Source organism: Homo sapiens, chromosome 17, assembly GCF_000001405.40.
Source record: "Homo sapiens chromosome 17, GRCh38.p14 Primary Assembly".
Lineage (NCBI taxonomy): Eukaryota > Metazoa > Chordata > Mammalia > Primates > Hominidae > Homo > Homo sapiens.
Window position 1 is genome coordinate 9,800,306 of NC_000017.11, and position 26,868 is coordinate 9,827,173.

Below are 26,868 nucleotides of genomic sequence, written 5' to 3' on the forward strand. Positions count from 1 at the left end.
CTGCCTCAGCCTCCCGAGTAGCTGGAATTACAGGCATCTGCCACCACACCTGGCTGATTTTTTGTATTTTTAGTAGAGATGGGGTTTCACCATGTTGGCCAGGCTGGTCTCGAACTCCTGACCTCGAGTGATCCACCTGCCTGGGCCTCCCAAAGTGCTGCGACTACAGGTGTGAGCCACCACGCCCAGCAAAAAATTTATTTCTTTACCCATGTAACAAACCTGCACATGTACCCCCACTCTGAACCTAAAATAAAAATTGATAAAGAAAATAAATAAATAAAAATAAAAACTTGTCCAAATAGTTTTTAAAAGTTTATTTCTTCTTTGGCATCCTCAGCCACAGTGTTCACAGGTGTTTTTCACAACAGCGAATTCAGCGAAGTCTCTCTCCAGTGTATTTCATTCCCTGTAAGATGAGACTTTGACCTGATATCGTGACAGTCACACAGGACCTGCCTACATGAATACATAGGGATGAAAAACCATATGAAAGAACCTGCACACTGCAAAGGGCAGAGGCTTGTGGGTACAAACTCTCCTGCTCTAGGTGAGCACATGGCCCAGGGAACCCCAGCAGACATTCTCTGGGTTGGGCTTATTCCAGCAAGAATCCATTGTCTATCTCTCATATATGCTTAGCGCAATGAAACACAAAATTCCACAGAAGCAGCATTTGTCAGGCAGGTGCTCACCTTGAGCCACAAACACGAAGGTAGCTGGATTTTTTTTTTCATTTTTTTTATGACAGTATAAGTGTTACAGTTCAGCATAAACAGATTTTTATTGGATTTTTTTCCCAGAAATGATATGTTTACAAAACACGTGAATATAATTTTTAAAATGGATCTGAGCAAGGACATATTGAAGGTTGTTAGAGTTTGCAGTCCCTTTCTTTTCTTTTTCTTTTTCTTTTTTTTGAGACAGGGTCTCACTCTATTGCCCAGGCTGGAGTGCAATGGCGCGATCTCTGCTCACTGCAACCTCCACCTCCCAGGTTCAAGCGATTTCCCTGCCTCAGCCTCCTGAGTAGCTGGGATTACAGACATGTGCCACCATGCTTGGCTATTTTTGATGTTTTTTTTTTTTTAGTAGAGACAGGGTTTCACCATGTTGGCCAGGCTGGTCTCGAACTCCTGACCTCAAGTGATCTGTCTACCTCGGCCTCACAAAGTGCTGGGATTACAGGCGTGAGCCACTACACCCACCCCCTTTCTTTTTTCAAAAAATCAAATTATGTGTGGAACAACCTGTGGCCTGAATAACATGGTAGCTGGACATGGGATGAATTGATACAATATTGCAGATGACTGTATTAGGAATCCTGCAGCCCACCACTGCCTCCAACAAGACCTGCATGTTTGGTAATGTTTATTTTTAGAAGCAAAAGTGGCTGGCGATTTAATTTAAGCAGAACAACTCAAACATGTGTTCCACTTAAACTAAGATAAGATGTCATTCCATTTGACTGTGTTTTCATTTCTATCATTCGACTGTCCTTCCAAACTGATTTTACTATGAGTAGAAACACAAAATTTCCAAGAAAAAATATTTTAAAAAATAACAGGAAACATATTTTGAAATTTCTGTCTTCTTGATTCAAATGAAAAAGAAAGTATGACATAGCCACACATACTTTATTGTGTGTGTCAATTAGGAGAAAACATTTTCTGGATTTTTCTGTCAACAAACCTATGCGGACAACACATTTTGCCTCCCTTGTAGTTAAAAAGACTTGCTTTCCTCTTTCTTCAACTTCTCTTCCCTTAGTACTGGCATCCTCCCTGTTTCTTTGGTATCCTTATCAAATTCACTGTCATTAAGAAGCTCTCTTTTATACTAGAGTGTCAATGGTTGATATCTTCAGTAAGCATTATCTCACTTCAAGGTACTGGCATTTTAACAGGAATCAAAGGCTAAAGCCAAAGGTGTTTAGTAAAAGGTGAGATGTGGAGGGGTGGGGATGGAAGCTTTCCCTGGACAACAATCTCCTGAAGTCCAACCCAGAGGCAGGGTGTACATTGTGAGTGTCAGTGCCTGGCTTGTTTGCCTGTGCGGATGTGGCAGCCATGGACACTGGCTAGCATATGGACACCTTGCCTGGGGCGCCTGGTGGGAGGTGTCCAGAAACATTCCTGAAGGCTTGTTCAGCAGGGCAAGGAGCAGCTCCTGTTTTCCAAATGCTCTCCGAAGCCTCGGGTTCCAGGAAGCTGTGTTGAGAGTGCCGACTGCCGTTCTGTGCCTGCTGCTTCTCGGTGAATTCCAGGCGGGCTGCCGTGAACCTGCTCATGGCCGAGACCGACACAGCCAGGCAGAGGGCGAAAGAACCCCAGGCAAGGCTGTCAACAGAAGGCACCGTTAGGAAAGGGCTGAGGGCTGTGATTCCAGGACTTCCTGTTTTCTCCAGACTGGGGGTCAATCTGGAGAAAACAACAGCTCCTCGTTCTACTCAGTTTGGACCTGCATTTTGGATCACAAATCCCAGAGTCTAGTCAACGTACTGTTTAGCCCAAGGGTTAAGAGAATGGATTCTGGAGTCACTGTGCTGGCTTTGCATCGTGGCCCCACCTTGTATTAACCATGTGACCTTGAGCTGGTTGCTTTACCTCTTTGAATCAGTTCCCTCATCTGCAAAGCTGGAATAATATTAATGCTGCCACCAGGGTGGCTGTGAGGAATTCAGTGAGTGAATGCGTGGGAAGTATTAATACTTAGTATAGCATCTGCTGCATAGAAGTTTCCAGATTATTGCTGTTGTTGGCTGTAACCCAGGACAGTGGCATTGGTGTCATTACTTTTTTTTTTTTTTTTTTTTTGAGACAGAGTCCCTCTCTGTCGCCCAGGCTGGAGTGCAATGGCATGATCTTGGCTCACTGCAACCTCTGCCTCCCGGTTCAAGCAATTCCCCTGCCTCAGCCTCCCAAGTAGCCGGGACCACAGGCATGCGCCACCACACCCGGCTAATTTTTGTATTTTTAGTAGAGACAGGGCTTCACCATGTTGGCCAGGCCGGTCTTGACCTCCCGACCTCAGGTGATCCGCCCGCCTTGGCCTCCCACAGTGCTGGGATCACAGACATGAGCCACCGCGCCCGACCAGCATCATTATTCTTATATCCCCATCCAGGCTGTAAGCCTGTTGCATACTGAGATGATGGGCTACACTTTTCATCCTTCAAAGAACCCAGCACTGTGTTGGGAACATGGTAATTAGCATCTGCTTTATACCAAAGGGTGTTCAAATGTTTGCATTATTATGAGATAAAGAGAAGGGCTGTGTGGTGGACAAAGAACAACCTAGAGAAGAAAAGCAAAATGTAGGGCTAACCAGAGACACTTCCCAATGGATAATAATAAGATTAACAATAATAAACAGTCTTGTATGTATGCCAGGTGCTGTGATGGGCACCAGATTATCTAACTGAACACCTCACGGCGACCCCCTGATGGAGGCACTATAATTATCTCCATTTTACAGATGAGGAAACTGAGACACAGAAGTTAAGCAACTTGTCCACGACTACCATTTAGAAAGTGGGACATCCTGGATGCGGCTGCAAACCCTGTGAGTCCAGATACTGCTGGCTGACTTGCGAGACTTTGCTGCCTCCTGATGCTGTGGACTCGGTTAACCAAGGACACATGTCAAGGTTCTGGTTTGGGCCTGGTCTTGCTTCGTGTTTTCATTAAGTAGGTGATTATTTTGGTTTAAATGAGGGCAGAAACTCATTGCATCTCTCCACACCCCCACTGAAACGAGAGTAAAGGGATGTGTACTAGTGTGAACACACAAGGACAAGGAGAATTGGAGAGGAGACATGAGAGTACGGAAACGGCTGGGAGAGGGATGACTAATTTATGGAGTGAGGGATGCGACACAGAAAGTGTCTGCAATGAGGGCCACCCACAAGACAAGAAGGATGCCTGTTATATCAGCACTGCTGAATCCTTGAGAGGTGCAGAACCTTGAGGCACAAATACGGCACAAAAAATGCAGCCCTTTCCCCAGTCTCCTCCTTACCACAAACACTCCATCCCACCTCCCTTTCCCCCAGAAAAGCAAAGTTTTATTCTCTGGAGAAGGTGAACGGAAGGAAAGGCTCCGGATTCAGAGACAGCAGGCCCATTGGAAGGCAGGGAAGGGGGCTGGTCTGAAAATGGGATTGTATGGAAATCTGCACAGGAGTGGGAAGCTGTCCAGCCCTTTCCTATGCCTAACCTCAGAAATTATCAGCCAGGCATGTGAGCTTACTCCACTTCCTGCGGATATTGGATGATTCCCTTCTGAAGACACTGACAGGTTGTGGAAAGAACCTCTACAAACCGATATTTGTGTGTGTTTTTGTGGAGTGGAATTCCAAGATAAAATAGATGGTGCCATACCCAATCACATGCCAAAACAACAACAAAAGAGCCTACCAGTAGATAAATACCAACCCTGCTCCAGAGCTTCCAATTATCCTTGACAATCAAAGATGCCAACGTTTGGGGGAAAGGTCCAACAACAAAGCAGGGAGGGGAAAGAATTCTAAAGGAAAGAGATAACACAAGGAACAAAAGAAAACAGCAACAAAAACCAAACCCTTCGATTAATATCCTCAGAGGAATATGAGAAAAGAAGATGCTGTATCAATAAAGCAAGATCAGGATATTATGAAAAAGGAACAGCTGGAAAACAAGGAAGAGCTTGGAAAATTAAAATAAGTCCAAAATAAGAATTCAACAGAAAGGCTGGAAGACAAGTAGAGAAAAATTTTCAGAAAATATAATAAAAAGAGAAACAAAATATAAAGAAAGTAATAAGATCCTTGAATAATAAACCCAAAAGACCTAATATCTAACTAACAAGTGTTTTCTAAAAGGAGAACAAAAAACTGACGAAAGGAAATAATCAAAGAAATAATACAAATACAAAAATCACCATAATTCCAGGACATGAATATTCAGATTAAAGGCTCCCCCCTCCCCCACCCCAAGCACATAGATGAAGGATGAATGTGGAGAAAAGAGGATCCTCGCCAAAGGACATCATCATGGCATTTCAGAACATTGGTCATAAAGAGAAGAAAATAACAGGCCACCTACAAAGGCACATGAATCAGAATCGTGTTGGACTCTTGACAGAAACTATGAATGCTGGAAGAGAATGGAGTACGGCCATCTAAATTCTTTGGGAAAATGATTTCCGGCAGAGAATTCTGCACTGTGCCAAACAATCGATCAAGTATGGAGTATTGAATTTCCAGGCATGCAAGGAGTAAAATAATTTATCTCTCATTGGATCCTTTCTTAGGAAGCTGCTGAAGGATGTACTCCCAGAAAAGGTAAACTAAAGAAGATAATTCAATGGGACCTAAGAAATAGCATTCCAAGATAAGGGAGTGGCGCAGGGAAGTCTCATGATGATAGCTCTAGACTGCAACGAGCCTGGAACAGGGCAGGAAGACCGAGGGCTTTGGGGGTTTGGAAGTAAAACTGAGAAGCTAATCTGATTAGGTCCACCAAACCTAACCTGCCCTGCTTGCTTTTGGTTGCTTGCTTTCTTTCGTCCCCATATAGCTAAAAGCCACGCCACTAAACTCCTGGCTTCCTTACGGAGAACATTTCTGATGTACACGTCACCATGGTAATGGCTGCTTGTTTTTCAGGAACTTGGGGCAGCTCCTATCCAGTTCAAACTGGTTGAGACCACTGATCCTTCAGCTGATCCTGTGCAAGTGCCTGAGAGGTGGCCTTTTGATGTCAGAAAGCCAAAAACTCTACCCTTAGAACATGCTAATGCTACCATTTTCTGAACATGCATCTTGTGAAGAGCCATGAACCCTGACTATGCTTGCACAGATCACTAGTGACTTTATTTTTCCCCATTGCCAATCACCTTTCCTCTTGCCTTAGACCACCCTGCTTCTCTAACCCATAAATATCCCTAAGTCTTATCTTCAGGCAGGCTTTGAGAGCTGTTCTCCCACCTCCTTATTGGGCTGCCCTGTGAATAAATGTTTTATCTGCCCTGTGAATAAATCTTTTGTAAGACCCATCATCACAGTAACTGGTTTACTAAGCACAAACAGAATGAACTTGGTGGGTATCAGAAGGGTGGCACAGGGAGAGAATGGAATTGATAGATTGTTACGCTTAGTACTATTTGATTTTTAACAACCATTTACATATGCTTCTTTTGCTAAAAATTAAGTAATTGAAAGTAATAGAAAACAAAAACAAAACAAAATGATACTGGAAACAAACAGACCATTCTTCAGGCTCCTTTAGTGTTTGGAATTTGCTTCTATCCATAGCAAAAGGAGGGCAGTACAAATTGGCCACGGTTGAGAACCCACCTACAATTCATCTGAGCCCTGCTGCAACTACACTCTCAACTGTGTAAGGTGCCAGTGATAGCCCCTCAGAACCAATAGCACTAATTCAAAGGGGGGTAGCTAAGTGACAAACAGGTGAAGGGACAGGTGCCCAGAGAAACATTTGTAAAAATTAACATCTTCAGACTGGGAAGACGAAGACTAAGAAAAGTTCAGACTCTAACAACTCACGAAGCATATGGCTCACAGTAACACACATGCGTTCACTGAATCCTAGAATAGTAGGGTGAGGGAGTGAGCCCTGAACGTGTTATGTGTTTTACAAAGAGGAAAGTAACATAAGAGGTTGTTATATAAGATGAAAATGTAAGTTATGTACATCTATTTTTAAGATACGATATGCTTCAGAGGTCCACATCAAAGACAACCCCTGTGGTCTTGGATAATATGGTCGAGTCAGTTAGAGACAGAATTCCCATGTCGTGACCTTGTCTTTGCATTAGAAACAGGGGCTGGGTCTCCCCCAGTTGAAGTTATTTATTAGGAGTTATAGATCAAGACACTTCCTCCCACACTGTATTTAAGAACTGATCATCAACAACGTCTCAATTTCTCGGGGACTTTACTATGTGCAAAGAGTTTTATAAACATAATCTCTTTAAATCCCTATACAAACATTTGAGGCAGGTATCCTCACTTTATCGATGAGGGAATTGGGCTACAGATGGGTCACAGAATTAACCCAAAGTCACAATACTGGCAGATGCCAGCACTATGACCAAGGTTGGTCATCCTACAAAACATGTGTATGTTTATGTGCATCTCTCCTGATCCTCCAGGACTTCAGCACCATGACCAAGCAACTTACCAATATGACCAGCCATAGTCCCAGGTCTGAGGCTTCCAATCTTCTGGTCCAAGGTTCACAGTGATTTGAAAAATGGTTGTGTACATCATGTGGGCCACCATGCCTAGAAGCCCTGCGCAAGGAAAGCTCTGTGAGTCACAGCTAAGAAGACACATGATGGAAGAACTCTACGCGGTGTGAGTTGGCTGTAAGGAGCTCTCTAGCATTCATAAAGTCCTTTTGATGTATCTGCATGTATTCATCCTTAAACATTCCGCTGGACATCTCTTTCCCACAATTGAAACTGAAGAGACATCCGGAAAGACACAATCGGGGAGGACCTGTCAGAACCTGGGTAGGAGTCTCCATGGCCTGGTTCCTTCCTAAGAAGATCAGAAATTGGATTTTATCATCCCATTCGCTGAGGATAAGACTTGAGGGAGGTAGGCATGGTGGCATGCACCTGTAATCCCAGGTACTCGGGAGGCTGAGGAGGGAGGATTGCTTAAGCTCAGGGGTTTGAGACCACTCTGGGGGGACCTCTGATTGAGAGGTTCCAAATAAATAAATAAGTCCCAAAATAAGTAAAATAAAATAATTAAAAGGGACTTTAAAAAAAGGACTTAGGAAAGATGCATTACACTTATCAAGCACAACAATGATGTACAAATTGGCCTGCTACATGATGAACTTAACATGAGTAACTTTTCATATCCAGTTTGAGGACTAAAGGAAGTCATTTGTTCAGGGTTCTTTCTCCCTGGAAAGGCCCACTTAGGAGACCCGATTAAGTGGCTTTAAAAGTTGCTTGGAGAACACAGAAGTAGATCTAAAAAAAAGGAGTTCTTTATTTTTATGGAATATTTGTACCAAATGTTGATACTTTTTTTAAAACTACCATGTATTACTTCTTCTATACTAGGTGCACTCTTATTTAGTCATCGCCAAAGTGTCTTGAGATACATTATAGTGTTCTGTCTTAGAGAAGTAACTTGCCTGAGGTCATACACCCATTAAGGAGACGTCTGCAACTGAGCAGGATCCCTCCACAGACTCATGCCTAAGTACTGCTTTCAGTGAAGTGATGTCAGCTGTCAGAGCCAGGGCACCCTCTTCCCTGGTTGTGACAAACGGATAAATTTCACTTTCTATCTGTGCCTAGCCCCTTTTCATCTGTCACCCTAAAAATATTGTCTCCAGCCAATGGAATTCATTGGTGACTTATCCAGGGGACCACCCGCCCTGCTTAAATGGCCATTGATGGGAAAGAGCCAGCCTGTTCTTTGGTAATGAGCATGTCCAGTCTGACACTCTGCTTTCCCTCTGGGGCAGCCTGTTCCAAGGATGCTGTTGGAAAGTACCTGCCAGCACCATGAAGATGGCTACCAAGGCATCCACCCTGAGCCAGTGGAACCCAGGGCTGCGACAACTCACTCTGGAGCCCAGGAGGATGGCGCTTGTCAGTATCAGAACGATATCCAGGACCTCGCCCCCGATGGACAGCCACAAAACACCTGCCAAAGAACGGGATGTTGGAAACGCTGGACACTTCTAATTCAGAAATACTAAAATGTTCAATCCTTTGATTTAGTTCACTTCTAAACAAAACATGAAAAACAGACACGCTGGAGTGAAAATCACAGATGCCTCTGCTGAATCTTAGCTGGCAATGGAAAGGCACTCCTCAGGGCTGAAAGAGACGGTTGTAGGGATTGCCCGTAGCTGAACGGGCGGTGGGGTGGGGGCGGGGAAACTAAGCAAAACCCTGCTGTGAGGATATGAGTGGTGCTGGGGGTCTCCATGCCCTAGCTCAAAAACTACCATTGTGTCTGGAGTTGGTTCCTGCCGGTGGGTTCATGGTCTGGCTGACTTCAAGAACGAAGCCACAGACCTTCGCAGTGAGTGTTACAGCTCTTAAAGGTGGCACAGACCCAAAGAGTGAGCGGTAGCAAGGTTTATTGTGAAGAGTGAAAGGACGAACACTCCAAACCATAGAAGGGTACCTGAGAGGGTGGCTGTGGCGGGCTGGGGTGGCCAGCTTTTATCCCCTTATTGGCCCCTCCCATGTTCTGTTTCTGTCCTATCAGAGTGCCCTTTTTCCAGTCCTCCCCGCTATTGGCTACTTTTAGAATTCTGCTGATTGGTGCATTTTACAGAGTGCTGATTGGTGCGTTTTACAGAGCGCTGATTGGTGCGCTTTACAGAGTGCTGATTGGTATGTTTTACAAACCTCTTTAAGACAGAAAAGTTCCTGATTGGTGCGTTTTACAAACCTCTTGTAAGACAGAAAAGTTCCCCAACTCCCCACTTGACCCAGGAAGTCTGGCTAGCCTCACCTCTCACCATGATGTTTTGATTTTACCAGAAGATATCATCTTTGCCTTTTGCAAGAAAAAGTTACACAAACATGGGGGTGGAGGGTCTGTGAGTTGGAGAGTCCTGTCTGCAGGTACCAAAACCTCATTTGTTTCTGTGGAAGCCACTTGTTTACTTCCTGGAGAGGATCCCACCTGTGGCTTCAAGGAACTCTGTTGCCAGTGGAGAGCAATGGAGAAAAGGGACAGAAAAGGAAATTCATCTTTGCGAAAGGACTCCTCTAAGGCAAGTTAGGTAACGGAGACACAGCAATGAATAGACGTGATCCATGCCTTCACAAAACCTCTACTCCAGCTGGGAGAACAGACACTAAGAAAGTAATTACAAAGATACTGAGTGTTAGGGAGCTTTAGAGAGAAGAAAAAACTGCTCTAGGCAGTGGTGTGCTGAAGCTTATCTCAGAGCTCTGTGTTCATCTTGCAACTGAGAGCTGCATTCATCTTGCAATTGAAATTGGCTATGGTGGGAATATTTACACCATGGAACACGGCCAGTGCTGCCAATCAGGGCTTCCCATCCACCCTACAAAGTTGGCTGTTAAACATTTGCCAGCACACCACTGGCTATAGGGCACAGGAAGAGAGCCTGTGGTTCTAGCTTTTGGGCTGGACTTCATGGAAAAATCATCAATGACTCCCTCATCATTTCCCCTATTCCCAATAAAACTATAAAAATAGTCCAAGCTATGAGGAGTGCTAGTGGGCAGAGTGTGAGTAAGGTATTTACCTTGTTCTTCAGCTGGCACTACACTCCGGAAACTCCTACACTTTTCATCTGAAAGATAAAGAGAATGCATCCAGAAGTGGGTTACACTTCACAACCAGGGGGCAAATGGTGAATTTCTAGCCCCTTAACTGGATGAGGAATGGGGAGTGTGCAGACTGCTTTACTGCTCAGGGACATGAGCTGCTCCTCTGTGTGGGAGCCTGATATAATCCACCCTATTGGACTCTGGCTTGGCCACGTAACACTCTTTGACCAATGAACTGGGAGCAAAAATGAGGTGGATCTGAGCAGCTTTAAGAGCCAGTGTCTTTTCCCTTGGTTCCTGTTCCCTTGCTCTGTAATCCCAGAGGCCCATATCAAGAGGAAGTCTCCATCAGCCTGGGTCCCTGAATAGCTACAATGAGGACAGACCCCTTGCCAACCTGAAAAGTCTATACAGAATGAGCTAAAAATAAATGTGTTGGTTTAAAGCACTGGAATTTGGGGGGTTGTTTGTTATTGCAGCCTAACCTATCCTATCTGGACTAATACTGCAAGTCTTAGACCAGGGATTCTCAGCTTTGGAAATAGCATTCATTATGGTATGAATCTAAAATAATTGGCTTCTTGTTGAAGGGAAATGATCAAAGTTCGCAATTTATTTTTAAATGAGTGAGAGCAGATTCAGAGCCATGTCTGTTACTAAGACTCAGCAGGTGAGTCACGCATTCGCTTGCATTCCATCATGATTTCTTGACTATGAAAGGAAGGAATCGTTGTGTGTGTACCAGGTATTGGGCAGAAGCCGCCACCAGACTCATTTATGTGCTCCAGGGGGATAGATACTCTTTGTATGTGAGTGTCATCTGTCAGGTTGCACACATCAGGTGAAAAATCTTGAGCCACAGCCTTACATATGCAGTTCCCTTTAAAATTCTAAGTCCATGGATATCCACTTGGTGTGAAGATGTAACCAAATTCTGGTTTAGGGGGTGACAGATGGAGGATTGAGACCATGGCAAGTCACTCTCTGGGGTCCTGTCCCAGCTGAGTGTCCTGCACTCTCTCTACTAACACGTCAGCCCAAAATAGAATCATAGACTGTCGAGTGGGAGGAGCCTGGGAAATCATCTGGTTCATCCCCACGCAGTTTACAGGAGTGCGTTCAAGGGCCTCTGAGGGAAAGTGACTTGCTCAAGACAGCGTAGGTAGAGGCAGTTTCCGTGTTAGAGCTCAGGGCTGCAGAGCCCGGGCCCAGCGCTGTCCCGCTACATCACTGACTTAATGCAATCAAGGAAAGGTGCCGGGGGTGCAAAGATGCCTGAGACAAGGGAGCCGCCCCCAGTCTGATCCTGGTGGGAGCTGAAGCAGAGCATGTTTTTTTCCCATTGACTCTTCAAAGGAATGGCATTCTTATCACCAACCAATAGTCACTTATCACTTATCACTTATCACTTATCCAATAGTCCCCACCTTAGCCTTGCTTTGAAGATTACATGAAACAATACTTACGAAACTTCTATCACAGTTCATACGCATTTAAATCTTATTAGACTATAATGAGTTCTATTAGAGCATTTTTGCAGTGGTTAGCATGAACTATTATTTATTTCCAGACTCTAAGCAACCCCAAGGGCAAGGTTCATGCCAGCTACCATTGCTGGAAGATTCCAGGAACAGAGGGAGTTTAGGGAGCATCTGTAGACTTCAAGAATTTTTTTTTCTTTTATAGGAGAGAAAACCCCAAGTAATTTAATTTTCCTATTCAAGAACTCTCTATGGCTCCCTATTTCCCCTAGCATCAAGTCTAAATTCCTCCTGTTAGCTTTTATGTCCTCTCTCCATCACCCTGACTTCCCAACACACAGCCCATCTTTTTGCCTCCCCAGCACCACCCAGCATTCACCTTCCACCTCCCCAGGGTCCCATACTATCTTAGTCCTGTAACAAATTACCATAGATGGGGTGGTTTATCAACAACAGGAACAGCTTTTCAGATCTGGAGACTGGAAGTCTGAGATGCCTGCATGGTGGGGTTCTGGTGAGGGCCCTCTTCCAGGTGCAGAGAGCTTCTTTCATTTTTTTTATTTTTTGAGACAGGGTCTTGCTCTGTCACCCAGGCTGGAGTGCAGTGGATCATGGCTCACTGCAGCCAAAATCTCCTGGGCTCAAGTGATCCTCCCATCTCAACTTCCCAAGTAGCTGGGACTAGAGGCGCACGCCACCACACCTGGCTAACTTTTTTATTTTTTGGTGGAGGTGGAGTCTCACTATAACTCCTGGGCTCAAGCAATCTGCCCACCTCAGCCTCCCAAAGTGTTAGGATAACAGGCATGGGCCACCATACCTGGCCAGCAGACAGCTTTTTGTAGTAACCTCGCACGGCAGAAAGAGATCTGGCTTGCTCTCTAGCCTCTTCTTATAAAGGCACTAATTCCATACGTGAGGGCTCCACCCTCATGACCTAATCACCACGCAAAGGCCCCCACCTCCTAATACCATTACATTGGGGTTAGGGTTTCAGCATATGAACCTGGGGAGGGGACACAAATATCCAGTCACAGCACATGGGAAGGATGATATGTGTGCAAGCATACGCTTCTGGCAGTGCATGTCTAATCCTTATAAACCTTAAGATTTGCCATGCCCATGCTCGTGAATTTCCAAGTGCCCGTAGGCCTCATTCCTTCACACTTCTGCATCACCCCTCTGCTGAGCTATAGGGAGAAGAGAAACTCAGGTTGGGGTGATGATGTAACCATTTCCTGGAGCTTCTCCACTGGGATGTTTTCTGACTCGAATGCGCAGCCAGGGATTCGTGCGTCACATGACTGTCCATCTCAGAGGGCCCGAAGGAGAATATTTACACAGCCTGGGGCTGAGGGCAACAGGATCAGGGACCTGTCAGTCCATGGGCAGCCACAGCGGCCTCTGCAGCATTTCAATTAAGTCACTTTGGATTAATGTGATTGGACACTTCTCCTGATGTCAGCAGCAGTATCACGGTCACAGAGGAAACAATTCATCTGAGCCTCGCCGGTTCTCCCAAGGATGTCCCCAAAGCACTGGAAACACCTCAGTCCTCACACCCTGCTCTCTCTCGGAGAACTCGGGGGCTGATGCAGAGCCTTCTCTCACGTCGCCTCATCCGATCCCAACCATACCCTGGCGAGTCAGGCCAGCATGTTGGCAGCAGATGGATACCATGGGCAATGTGTGGCATTTACATCCACAACGCCTGGCATCTCTGCCTGTTTCTGCCACGGTCAGTCACCATCGCAAGTTTCCTGGCCTCTCTGAGCCTCACTTTCCTCATCTGCAAAATGGGTCTAATGAAAGGTCTCCAGTGAGAAAGTTGTGAAAGTATTTTGTGAACTGCATTCCACAGTTTTTTCTGTTTTTTTTGACGGAGGCTCGCTCTGTCGCCAGGGCTGGTGTGCAATGGCATGATCTTGGCTCACTGCAACCTCTGCCTCCCGGGTTCAAGCGATTCTCCTGCCTCAGCCTCCCAAGTAGCTGGGATTACAGGCACCCGCCACTATGCCCAGCTAATTTTTTGTATTTTTAGTAGAGACAGGGTTTCACCATGTTGGCCAGGCTGATCTCAAACTCCTGACCTCGTGATCCGTCCGCCTCGGCCTCCCGAAGTGCTGGGATTACAAGCGTGAGACACCGCGCCTGGCCTTTCCACTGTTTTGAGTGTTGAGTTATTAATAAAGACAAGTACAATGATCTCAATTTTATGGACCTGGAGGAGACCAGGCTCATATGAATTGGTAGAGTCAAGAATTAAAAACCAGAGTTTCTCACCTAAGACTCAGAGGCCTTTTCTGAATCGCTTCTTGTCTTTCTACCTAATGCACGGAGAAGTGAAGGTCTAACTTGTCTTCTAAAGAGAACTGCCTTTCCCACCAGGAATAGAGACGAGGCCAGCACAGAGCCAGGGCTGGGCAAAGAGAAGGTGGAGGCCAGCCAAGGAGATTAAGAGAATTCAGAATAGCTTAGACGGGTGAGTTCAGCTTGGGCCCAGAGTCAGAGCCTAGTGACCCCTTTGATGAATATGAATCCTTAGAAATGGTGTTCGTTTTGAATAAAGCCAGAAGGATTAAAAGAAAAAATCTTTATAAATCCCATGAAGCCAGGGAGGCGGGTGTTACATAGCGTGTGTGCTTCAGCAGCCAAGCAGGACAGCAAGCCAGCCCGAGGAAGTGGCGTCCGATCCCTCCGTACCTGACTCTGACATCCTCTGTCATTTTGTTCTCCGCCGGCCCCCACTCCGCCCCTATCCTTTATGGGGTGCCTGTGTCCCTCTGTCCTGAACTTTTTGAGTTTAGCAGAACAGCATAGAATCTAAAATCCACACATTTTGTGGATTCACAAACTCACCTAAGGAAAAGAACATTTCGCGTAAGTGCTGCCTGGGCCAGGAACTGTCATTTCAGATTGTGGGATCAAAGATGTGGGTTCCCTTTAAAGACATCCTAGGCACTGGGGAGAAAGGGTAGAGTTCTTGGAGGTGGCTTGGGCAGAGGATGTCTTAAAATAGCACTTCAGGTGGCTGGGTGCGGTGGCTCACGCCTGTAATCCCAGCATTTTGGGAGGCCGAGGCGGGCGGATCACGAAGTCAGGAGATGGAGACCATACTTGGCCAACATGGTGAGACCCTGTCTCTACTAAAAATACAGAAAAAAATAGCTGGGTGTGGTGGCATGCGCCTGTAATCCCAACTACTCAGGAGGCTGAGGCAGGAGAATCGCTTGAACCCCGGAGGCAGGGGTTGCAGTGAGGCAAGATTCCATGGGTATGGGTCACTTACATCTCTGGAACTCAGTCTTCTCGTCTGTAAAATGTCTCTATTGTTCTAGGTCAGCCTTTCCCAAAGCACGTTCCACCAAACAATAGTCTTATAGAATATTAATCCTTATTAAAAAAATCTCTTCTATGCTCCATAAATTTGGGGGAAACACTGGAATATGTAATGTTAAACAAATTCCTGTATCGGGGGACTTCTCAGAGATTTTGATGTGCTAATGTGCGTTGTGAATTTTTAAGAAGAAAATGTAACATATTACGGAATCTTTTCCAGTTTGTTGGACTTCAAGATACTTTTTCTTTACTTTTACAAAGAGCATCTCAAAAGGCATCTCTGAGGAGTAATATTTGAGGACATCCAGTGAGGTACTTATTAAGAGCTCTTTCTGTCCTGATACAAGAATATAGTTGCATAGAAGTCAGACAGAGGTTGCTATGGTTTGAATGTCCCCTCCCAAACTCATGTTGAAATTTAATCCCTAGTGAGGCAGAATTGAGAGGTGGGAGCTTTAAGAGATGCTCGAGTCATGAAGGCTGTGCTCTCGTGAATGGATTAATCCATTCATGAATTAATGGGTTCTCGTGGGGAGTTGGACTAGTGGTTTTGTAGGAAGAGGAGGACAGGGCCGAGCTAGAATGTTAGCACGCTCAGCACCCTCAGCCATGGGCTGCCCTGCACCTCCCTGGGGCTCTGTGAAGAGTCCTCCCCAGCAAGAAGCCTCTCACCAGATGTGCTCCCTCGACCGTGGATTTCCCAGCCTCCGTAATGGTAAGTAATACGGTTCTTTTCTTTATAAATTACCTAGTTTCTGGTATTCTGTTTTAAGCAACAGAGAATGGACAACGACAGAAGTCAAGAAATACATCCTTTATTTCTCCTTGCTGTTGTCCATGAATCATGGAGAACACTAACTCTCTTTATATTCAGTGTGTGCTCCTGACAGTATGGGAAAAACCCTTCCGTGGTGTGATCCAGAAAAATGTGCACGTGCACGCGTATGCGTGTGTCTGTGTGTGTGCGTGTGTGTCTGTGTCTGTGTGTGTGTGTGTGTGTCTGTGTGTGTGCGTGTGTCTCTCTGTGTGCGTGTGTCTGTGTGTGCGTCCGTGTGCGTGTCTGTGTGTGTGCATGTGTCTGTGTGTGCCTGTCTGTGTGTGCGTGTCTGTGTCTCTGTGTGCACGTGCGTGTGTCTGTGTGTGCATGCATATCTGTGTCTGTGTGTGCACGTGCGTGTCTGTGTGTCTGTGTGTGTCTGTGTGTCTGTTTTGCATGTCTGTGTGCGTGTCTGTGTGTGTCTGTGTGTGCGTGTGTGTCTGTGTGTGTGTGTCTGTGTATGTGTGCATGCGTGTCTGTGTGTATCTGTGTCTGTGTGTGCATGTGTGTATCTGTGTGTGTATCTGTGTCTGTGTGTGCGTGTGTGTCTGTGTGTGCGTATCTGTGTATGTGTGTCTGTTGTATCTGTGTGTGTCTGTGTATCTGTGTGTGTTTCTGTGTATCTGTATGTGTGTGTCTGTGTGTGTATCTGTGTGTGTGTATCTGTGTGTGTGTATCTGTGTGTGTGTGTGTGTGTGTGTGTGTGTGTAGTAAACACTCTGTGGGTTTGCAGAAGTGCCAAGGGGACTTCCTCTAGAGGAAGGAACCTGAAAGAGCCTCACACATCTCTCACTCCCGCTTTCAGCTCGTTTTAGGCTGAGAAGATGCCACCACCACCACCACACACACGCTGAGTTACACACACACATACACACGCGAACTGAGTGACAATTTTTTATCAGAAATCTTGGGGACATTTTTACCATCTACCTGTGTAGTGTTTGTGTGACTACGGCTCATGCCATATGCAGGTAGCCAGGTTGCAGCTGCTCCCACCCCTGCCGGAATATCCAGTTCCACACTTTCCTCAAGCCCAGCCCATGCGGATTTTTCCTGCCAGCTGCCTGGTTACTGATGAAGCAGCTCCCTCCCATTGGTCTAATTTTCCAACTCTGTCTTCAAGTTCAGGTTCTACTCTGGCCCTAGCTCCTCCTGACATCATGACTAGCAAGCTTCCAGTTCTCTCCAACGAGGCTTTTTTTTTTTTTTTTCCTCGAAGTCTCACTCTGTCGCCCAGGCTGGAGTACAGTGGTGCGATCTTGGATCACTGCAACCCCCGCCTCCCAGGTTCAAGCGATTCTGCTGCCTCAGCCTCCTGAGTAGCTGGAATTACAGGCACCCACCACCACACCCGGCTAATTTTTGTATTTTTAGTAGACATGGGGTTTCACCATGTTGGCCAGGCCGGTCTTGAACTCCCGACCTCAAGTGATCTGCCCTCCTTAGCCTCACAAAGTGCTGAGATTACAGATGTGAGCCACCATACCTGGCCCAATGAGGCCTTTTCTGTTTAGGAAATGTCTGCTCAGTTCCTCCTGCTTGGGTGACAGAGACCTTATGTTGCAGGGAAGGAGAAGCTGTCTCAGGTGACATGGAAAAGCCATGTGAGCCAAGTTCTTCTGTAAGAACTTAAGGATTCCTTCTCTCCCCTGCCTTGCATTCTGATGCAAATACCTGGGTTATGCTGCCTCAGACATTGGCTCACTCAGTTCTGCCTGCCTGGAACGTTCTCATCCCCAATCTCCATCTATTAAAATCATAGCCTTATGGGCCTGGCACAGTGGCCACCTCCTTTATGAGGTCCTCCCTATGCCTAGAGCTATAAATAACCTCTCCTTCTGTGTAACTCAGTTCTTGCATTGCTATAAAGGAATACCTGAGGCTGGGTAGTTTATAAAGAAAAAACTTTTAATTGGCTCACGGTTCTGCTGGCTGTTCGGGAAGCATAGCACTGGCATCTGCTCAGCTTCTGGTGAGGCCTGGGGAAACTTCCAATCATAGCAGAGGGCAGAGGGGGAATCTGCCAATCACACAGTGGGAGTGGGAGCAAGAGAGAGAAGGGGGAAGGTGGCACACACTTTTCTTGTTTTAGTTTTAGTTTTGTTTTGTTTTGTTTTTGAGATGGAGTTTCGCTCTTGTTGCCCAAGCTGGAGTGTAATGGTGCGATCTCGGCTCACTGCAACCTCCGCCTCCTGGGTTCTAGCGATTCTCCTGCCTCAGCCTTCCAAGTAGCTGGGATTACAGGTGCACACCACCACACACAGCTAAATTTTTTTTTTTTTTTTTTTTTTTTTTTGTATTTTAGTAGAGACAGGGTTTCACTGGGTTGGCCAGGCTGGTCTCGAACTCCTGACCTCAGGCAATCCACCCACCTTGGCCTCCCAAAGTGCTGGGATTACAGGTGTGAGCCACCACGCCCTTTCCAACGACCAGATCCCGTGAGAAATCATTCACTATTGCAAGGACAGCACCAAAAGAACAGGGCTAAACTATTCGTGGTAAATCCACCTCCACAATCCAATCACCTCCCACCAGCCTCCACCTCTAACAAAGGCGGATGACTTTTTATCCAAACTCTATCACCCCCGTTTCCATTTCCACATCATAGGTGCATCCTTGTTATAACCATTATCATATTTGTCCTTGTTCGTTTGTACCTTAGGTGGGTCTCTTCCACTGGATCCTTGCTCTCAGCACTGGGGCTTACTCACCTTTCTCTCCTCCCATCCTCCTGGCCCTGTGCCTGACAAGGAAATGACTGTCAGTGAATTCACTCTGCACTGTGCTGACTCCCTTCTTTCCAGAGGTCTTTGATGTACACTGAGGTGGGCTCCTCAGACTCTAGCGTCTGTCATAATCACCAGGGGGGCTTATTAGAAACATGAGTAACACCAGATAAAATAGGATTGAGTGGAATAAAACACCAGTGCCATAAGGATCAGAAACGAAGAGGCAATGGGCAACTCCAGAAAAAGCAAAAAGCTGAACACAGCAATAAACATCACCACAGCACCTACTTTGATGCTATAATGAACAATATTGATAGAGTCAAAATATATTATTGGCTTACTGATTTCAACAAAGCAGCGATATAACTTTATTAGGAAGATGACAGAGGGTATGTGGGATGTTGTGGTATGAGAGAGTTAAATCCTATTTATTATAACAGGAAGTTAATAGGTAATGTCTAAGATGAAGCCATGGCTATGTAACCATAGTTTTTGAAAACACGGAAGAAAATACTAGAAGAAACACTTAAGTTAACTGTGGTTTCTCCTGAAGTGTGGGACTAAGTTATGGAGAAGAAAGGGGCAAGGGAGTGTTGATTTTTCATAGTAGCTTTTCAAAATGAGTTCATCTCTTGTCTATGAGTAAATATCACCTTGGTTAAAACTTTTTTTTGTTTGCTTGTTTTTTGAGACAGAGTTTTGCTCTTGTTGCCCAGGCTGGAGTGCAATGGTACCATCTCGGCTCACTGCAACCTCTGCCTCCTGGGATCAGGCGATTCTCCTGCCTCAGCCTCCCTAGTAGCTGGGATTACAGGCACACATCACCACGCCCAGCTATTTTTTTGTATTTTTAGTAGAGATGGTATTTCACCAACTCCTGACCTCAGGTGATCTGCCCGCCTCAGCCTTCCAAAATGCTGGGATTACAGGTGTGAGCCACCACGCCTGGCCTGTATTCTTTTTCTTTAAAAAAAAATTTTGGCCAGGCACAGTGGCTCATGCCTGTAATCCCAGCTTCTGGGGAAGCTGAGGCAGGATAATCACTTAAAACCCAGGAGGTGGAAGTTGCAGTGAGCTGAGATTGCGCCGTTGCAATCCAGCCTGGGCAACGAGAGGGAAATTCCATCTCAAAATAAAAAATAAAATAAAATAAAATAAAATAAGAATACAGACCTCTAGACTCCACCCCGGCTCTCTTAAATTAGAACCTCCAGGACTGGGCACCTGGATATTTCTTTTACAAGTTCCTTGGGTGATACATTTGATAACTGGTGTGACGCCTATATAGAGCTGTGGAAACAGAAGTACTATAGGCAGTCCTCATATGAGAACTTGGAAAGGAGATGGAATTTCCCAAGTGATTTGCCTATAAGTATGGTGAATACAGTTTCCAAACCAAAATTCTGGAAGTGTTTTGGAAATCCTCCAGGATGCAGGGTCCTGAGACTTTTGCCTCTGTCCATGAAGGTGGGGAAGAGACTCATAGGAAGATAGCACTCCCTGAGAAGCGAGGAACTGTGGAGGTCCTAAATAGCCTTAGCTCCAGGCACTATTGCAGTGTCTGTACCACACTTAAAGCACAAGACACAGGCACTGGCCTGGATACATGGGAGGTTCAGTCAGGCTGGGTACTGCCCCACATTGGCCACCACTGGGAGAGAGGGTGGAAGGGAGGGACATACAGCACCTCTGAGTGTTCCTTTTTTTTTTTTTTTAATTTGAGACAGGTCTCGCTCTATCATTCAGGCTGGAGGGCAGTCACACGATGATGACTCACTGCAGCCTCAACCTCCCAGGCTCAAGTGATCCTCCCAGAGTAGCTGGGACCACAGGCACACCCCACCATGTCCAGCTAATTTTTTAAAAAAACCTTTTGTAAAGAGAGGTCTCACTATGTTGCCTATGTTGCCAGGCTGGTCTGTAACTCCTGGTCTCAAGTGATTCTCCTGTCTCAGCTTCCCAAAGTGCTAGGATTATAGGAATGAGCCACCAGGCTGGGCCTCAGGGGCTTCATTCTTGTTGCCTTTTACTTAGGCCTCAGGAACAAAAATCAAATGCTATGAGAATGGAAAAAGAAAAGGCAATTAGAAACTCCAGAAAAAGTTAAAAAACTGTGCAAGAAATTGACTGTAATAAGCTGAGGTCAGGAAAGAAATGGGGATGGGAGGATTCCTCCTTTTTCTGCCTTGGAGGTTTTGCGTCCCAAGCAGAAAGGGAAGAGTACTCTGTCCCTGAACGCGGGCTTACAGCCAGGCTGCCAAATATGGAAGAGTCAAATTCCTCCCTCCTCAATTCTTTGAGAGGTAAAAACACTTCTGTTTTTAAAGATTCACTCCAAGATCATTCCAAGTGCAGGATAAATAACAGGGATGCACCTTCGAGTTGGGTCGGGACCACCTTTCATTCCCAAAGGATTTTAAATACCAGGGATTCAGTGACAAGAACAAACGAGAAACTAATTTTAATAAACACTTGCAATGTGTCAGGCCCTGTTGCAAGCTCTGTATGTGAATCTGGTCATTTCATCTTTACAATCACTCTTGGAGGTAAGTACTGCTATCATTCCCATTTTACAGATGAGAAAACTGAGGCTCAGAGAGGTGAAGGGACTTATTCAAGGATACCTAGACAATCAGTGGAGATGAAGGATTCAAACCCAGACAGCCTGGCTCCAGAGCCCCTGCATCATCCCGCACCTGTTACCCCCAGAATCTGCAGGATTCAAACCCAGACAGCCTGGCTCCAGAGCCCCTGCCCCATCCCGCACCTGTCTTCCCCAGAATCTACAGGCTTTGCTCACCTTCACCGTTGAGGCTCTCCTCGCAGGACTGCCAGAGCCCCACATGGAACCCCCGCTGAATGAACTTGTCATCACCCAGCTCCCAAATGTACAGGACAGCCTGGCTATTGTTGTCCATCCTGCCATTGCTGCTGTTGTCCCGTTTGAAGTGAATGCAGTGCTGCCCTCCCGGCTGGTCCTGGCACAGTGGCTTCACCACCCGTCGGGTCCCCTCACACCAGTGGCTGCTGACCACGGCGGTGAGGGAGAAGGTGAGGGCGAGGCAGACAGGGAGGAGGAGCAGCGCCTGCTGCTGCTTGGCCCTGTCCATGGCTGAGTGAGGTGCGTGGGGCAGGATGAGCTGTGGGGCCCCCTCCTCCTGCCTCGTCACGGTACCTGCCCCTCAGCTCTGCCATCTGGCATCCTCACACAGCCTCCTCTCACGTCCCCCTGGAGAATTGCACGTGCTGCCACACCAGATCCAGAGGCACAGAGCCGGGGCACGTTCCTGTCAAGGGTGCTGGCCCTGCCATTCTCCCCAGGAGGTAGGTGTGCGGGAGGGCATTGTTTTTTTTTGTTTGTTTGTTTGTTTGTTTTTTTGAGATGGAGTTTCTCTCTTGTTGCCCAAGCTGGAGTGCAGTGGCATGATCTTGGCTCACCTCAACCTCTGCCTCCCGGGTTCAAGTGATTCCACTGCCTCAGCCTCCTAAGTAGCTGGGACCACAGGTGCATGCCACCATGCTGGGATAATTTTTTGTATTTTAGTGGAGAGGAGGTTTCACCATGATGCCCAGGATGGTCTCGATCTCCTGACCTCGTGATCCACCTGTCTCGGCCTCCCAAAGTGCTGGGATTACAGGCGTGAGCCACCGTGCCCAGCCAGAGGGCATTGTTTTTAAATTGTGGTAAAACACACATAACATGAAATTAACCATCTCAACCTTTTTTTTTTCTTTTTTTGAGACAGAGTTTCACTCTGTCACCCAGGCTGGAGTGCAGTGGCACCGTCTTGGCTCACTGCAACCTCCACTTCCTGGGTTCAAGTGATTCTCCTACCTCAGCCTCCCAAGTAGTTGGGATTACAGGTGCCCGCCACCATGCCCGGCTAAGTTTTGTATTTTTAGTAGAGACGGGGTTTCACCATGTTGGCCAGGCTGTTCTCAAACTCCTGACCCCAGGTGATCCACCTGCCTCGGCCTCCCAGAGTGTGGGATTACCGGCATGAGCCACCACACTTGGCCATCTCAATCTTTTTTTTTTTTTTTTTTTTTTTTGATATGGAGTCTCACTCTGTCGCCCAGGCTGGGGTGCAGTGGCATAATCTTGGCTCACTGCAACCTCCGCCTCCCGGGTTCAAGTGATTCTCCTGCCTCACCCTCTAGAGTAGCTGGGATTACAAGCGCACGTCACCACACCCGGCTAATTTTTGTATTTTTAGTAGAGGCGGGGTTTCACCATGTTGGTCAGGCTGGCATCTCAACCATTTTTAAGTGCAAAGTTTAGTGGCATTAACTACGCTCACAGTGTTGTGCAACCATCACCACCATCCACCTCCAGAACTCTTTTCATCTTTCATCATCTGTACCCATCACACAACTCCCATTGCCCTTCCTCCTCTGCTTGGCAGCCACCATTCTTCTCTCTGTTTCTATGAATTTGACTACTCTAGGTGCCTCCTGTAAGTGCACTCATACAGTATCCGTCCCTTTGTGACTTGCTTACTTCGCTTAGCATAATGTCCTCAAGCTTCATGCATGTTGTAGCATGTGTCAGAATGTCCTTCCTTTTTCAAGGCAGAATAATATTCCCTGTGTTTGTTGGATAGCATTTTGTTCATCTATTCAGACACCTGGGTTTTTTCCACCTTTTGGCTGTTGTGGAGGGTGCTGGTTTTGATGGAAGACCAGGGGCTGTTTGGGTGGCTGTCTTGGTGAGACAGCCTCACCATTGCCTTTTGCATGGAGCAGGTCCTTAGTGTTGGATTCCGGAATCAGGGAATCCCAAGGACTTCATAGGCCTGTTTCTTGTCCAGCTCTATGTAGAGAAGGACTACGGAAAACAGATGCTTGTTCCAGGGATGCTGGGTGATGCGAGGTACAGGCAGGCTACCTCAGGGCCAAGGTGCTGTGCAGAATGGGGAGGGCAGCATGTATCCCACTTGGCTGCAGGGTTCTGAGGCCAGGGGCCCGCAGATGCTAGAAGACAGAACCCTGGGCACCATCGCTCAGGCCCTCACTGAACGGGGCACTGGCAGGAGCAGTGATGCTGAAGATTTTTAAGGAACTCCTCGGGCAGAGGACACTGATGAAGGTGTGAGGGCAGAAGATTCTGCAGAGCATCCTGAAAACACACAGGCTCTTGATGATGTGTTAGACACCTCCTGAATACCCCCCAGACAGAATCTGGAATCTATGTGCCTGGGCTAGACAGTGATACTGGGTTAATATCACTCCATCTATACTTTGCCGCTGGCCGAGTCTGGGCACCTGTGTCCTGTGCTCTCACTGGCCTGGTGGGGTGTCCAGTCTCAAGGGAAGAGGCCTTACTAAGTTCCATCGCTAGAGGGCAACCAGCCAATGGGTGGGGAAGTCGTGTGTGGCCCCCAACTTTCATCCCTTCAGAAATAAAGGATGTTTTTGAGAAAAAGTTGCAAGAGATGAGATGGAATATTCTTGCAAAGCAGGTATTTTCTTTAAAGACAGACCATTTTCCAGCATGCAACTTGGAAGATGATCTTTAATGAGCACTCACAGAACGGAGTTGCAGCCACATTCAATGACCAAAGTCCATCCCTTGGGTACTTTCTCCCTCTGGGTCACTCCATCCTGCTCTCTGCCATCCCAGAGAGATGACCACGTCAATTCCAGAGGTGACACCACTCTGAGTCCATTTCTAGGGTCTTTGTTCTAGTTGAGCTTTTCATTGTTAAGGTCTAAAATCTTGTCACATGGAGTTTTTAAGATTTTTAGGGATGTCTATTAAGAAAAGCATGGCTGCTTTTCCCAACTGTTCAGAATTCATTCAGTTGAAAAGTTACCCAGGATGAGTTCCTATGTTTGACTTGAAGAGGGAAGGAAAAAATAACACAAAAACAAAACCAAAAACGAAGTGAAAACATGTTCTTCTTGCCTCTTGCTGACTCACTGTTCCAACCAATCAAGACATCTTCCACCTGGGCCTCCAATTTGGGAGGCTGGGAGACATTGCAGGGACGCTGGGAGCTGGCCTGGGAGAGGTGGAGTAAGAAGTTCCAAGCAGAGCCTTTGGGAGGCATGGCGATGAGCCTGCTAAGAACTCACCGGAGAGGGCAGGGGCAGGACAGGGCACCCTCCCAAGTACCTGTGCTCAAGCAACTCTGGTCAGAAGACCTGCCTATCCGGTTCTGCTGTTTACTTGCTGTGTGGCTTTGGGCAAGCCATCCAACCTCTCTGAGCCTCAATGTTTCTCAGCTGTCAAATGGAGAATTCATCGTATCCTCATGGGGTTATTGTCAGGATGTGCGAAATAGGATGGTGGGTTAAAAGACGTTGTCAATGTGAGTTGTGGGGACAGCCTACTCCTGTGCTGGTTAGTAAGTGATGTATCATCAATTCCATAAAAGGGTCTGTCAGGTGGGCTGAGCCACATGTGCTTAGAACAAGTGGGCATTCAAGATGAGTGAATGTTGCACTTTTCAACACACTGTTTTGCTATTGTGTAGGCATAACCTACGCCGCTGATTGGGTTTTTGCTTCATGGCCTGGGCTGGGAGCTGTTCTCTCCTGAGCTGAGCAACCACCTCTCCTGCAGTCTCTGCATAAACAGGACCCAGAGGAGATTTTGCCTTTGTGGTTAGCCTCAGCCCAGCCTGGACAAGCTTAATGCCTTAGAAAGAAATACCCTGCCTCAAAAAGACACCTGCCTCTAAACTGGCTCGAGCCCCATCGCCTTCTGCCAGCCATTCCTCTGTAGCTCGAACCCCAGCCTGTCTCAGCCAGCTTCGTGCATTGAGCAGAACCTTCAGGGTGGAGCCCGCTGACCGCCTTGTTCTTTCTCCTCAGCCTGTCAAGGAAGTCCCAGAAAGCACAGCTGACTTAGGGAAGGTCTGGGAAAAATCTCCCTGCTTTTGGGGGGGCAGGGGCGGGGGATGAGCCAGGGCCGAGAAGGAACTCTGAAGACTCCGTAGATTGCTCTAGACCGCCTCAGACACTCTCGGCGCAGCGTGGAGAGGATTTGTGCAAACATTTCCTCTGTGGACCAAGAGGAATGCAAGAGGAGGCTGCCTGCGGTGCATCTTGGACGGCTAGAGAGATGTACCCCTACTTGTGAAGGTGCACGAGGAAGATGAAGCTGGGATCGAGCAGGGCAGGGCCTGGGAGAGGAAGCGCGGGACTCCTGCCTGGCGTCCACGAGCTGCCCATGGGCATCCCTGCCCCCTGGGGGACCAGTCCTCTCTCCTTCCACAGGAAGTGCTCTCTCTGGGCCCCTGGGAGGCCCTTCCTCACTCTGGTCCTGCTGGTTTCCATCAAGCAAGTAAGAGCAGTTCATTATTATTATTATTATCAGTTGTATTTCCTGATTTTTTTTTAAAGAAGCAATTTAGGCCTCATGTAAGCAATTTGGAAAAGAGAAAACAGTATTAAGAAAATAATGAGCCGCCATAATCCTAGCATTCAAAGGTAATCACTGTTCATATTTTGGCATATTGTCCTCAAACCTTTTCTCTATGCATTTGTTTTTTTTTACAACAGCTGATATTAGGAAGCATAAAACATGTTGTGTCCTGGTCCCCCCAACCAGCCCCGCATCATATTATAAGCATTTCCCCACGTCAATGTGAGTTCTGCAAATAGCATTTACAATTGCTGCACATATCCTTCTGTTTGTCTTCAGTATTCTCCCAGCTTTGAGTATTTAGGTTGAGCAAATCCATTTTTCTTTTTCCTTTCCTTTCCTTTCCCTTCTGTTTCCTTTTTCCTTTCATTACAAAAATGTTGAACGCTAATTGTTTTTTTAAAATACAATTCAAAGAAGTGAAATGCAAACTACAAATCACTCTACTTCCAACAGCTGCAGATCATCCTCATTCACATTTGGGGGCTTATACTTCCAGACATTTTTCTACCATTGTTTGCATACAGTTTTTTGTTTGTTTGTTTGTTTGTTTTTTGAGATGGGGTCTCGCTCTGTCGCCCAGGCTGAAGTGCAGTGGTGAGATCTTGGCTCACTGCAACCTCTGCCTCCCGGGTTCAAGTGATTTTCCTGCCTCAGCCTCCTGAGTAGCTGGGATTACAGGTACGTGCCACCACCCGGCTAATTTTTGTATTTTAGTAGAGATGGGGTTTCACCATGTTGGCCAGGCTGGTCTTGAACTCCTGACCTCAAGTGATCTACCCGCCTCGGCCTCCCAAAGTGCTGAGATTATAGGCATGAGCCACTGTACCAGGCCTACAT

General features: G+C 46.6%; 2 protein-coding genes and 1 long non-coding RNA gene across 7 annotated transcripts in view; 2 read left to right on the forward strand and 1 right to left on the reverse strand.

Moving 5' to 3' along the window:
- Window positions 1-302: 302 nt before the first annotated feature.
- GSG1L2 (GSG1 like 2) lies at window positions 303-21,774 on the reverse strand. Its single transcript, NM_001310219.2, has 5 exons — window positions 21,457-21,774; window positions 10,266-10,313; window positions 8,525-8,677; window positions 7,185-7,296; window positions 303-2,339 (listed from the first exon to the last, which is right to left on the reverse strand). The coding sequence occupies exons 1-5, from the start codon at window positions 21,764-21,766 to the stop codon at window positions 2,081-2,083; spliced, it is 882 nt and encodes a 293-aa protein (NP_001297148.1). The 5' UTR covers window positions 21,767-21,774; the 3' UTR covers window positions 303-2,080.
- On the forward strand, window positions 7,156-10,744 carry LOC124903925 (uncharacterized). The gene is made up of 2 exons (XR_007065616.1): window positions 7,156-7,606; window positions 8,496-10,744. It is a non-coding gene; the product is annotated as an uncharacterized LOC124903925 (long non-coding RNA).
- A 3,844-nt stretch (window positions 21,775-25,618) lies between the features above and the next one.
- GLP2R (glucagon like peptide 2 receptor) overlaps window positions 25,619-26,868 on the forward strand; it is a 66,176-nt gene continuing 64,926 nt past the window's right edge. For all 5 annotated transcript variants that reach the window (XM_011524077.4, XM_017025339.2, NM_004246.3 and 2 more), the window contains exon 1: window positions 25,619-25,947. In XM_011524077.4, the coding sequence (XP_011522379.1) occupies window positions 25,759-25,947 (189 nt within the window). In that variant the 5' untranslated portion in view covers window positions 25,619-25,758. The remainder of the gene's footprint in view (window positions 25,948-26,868) is intronic.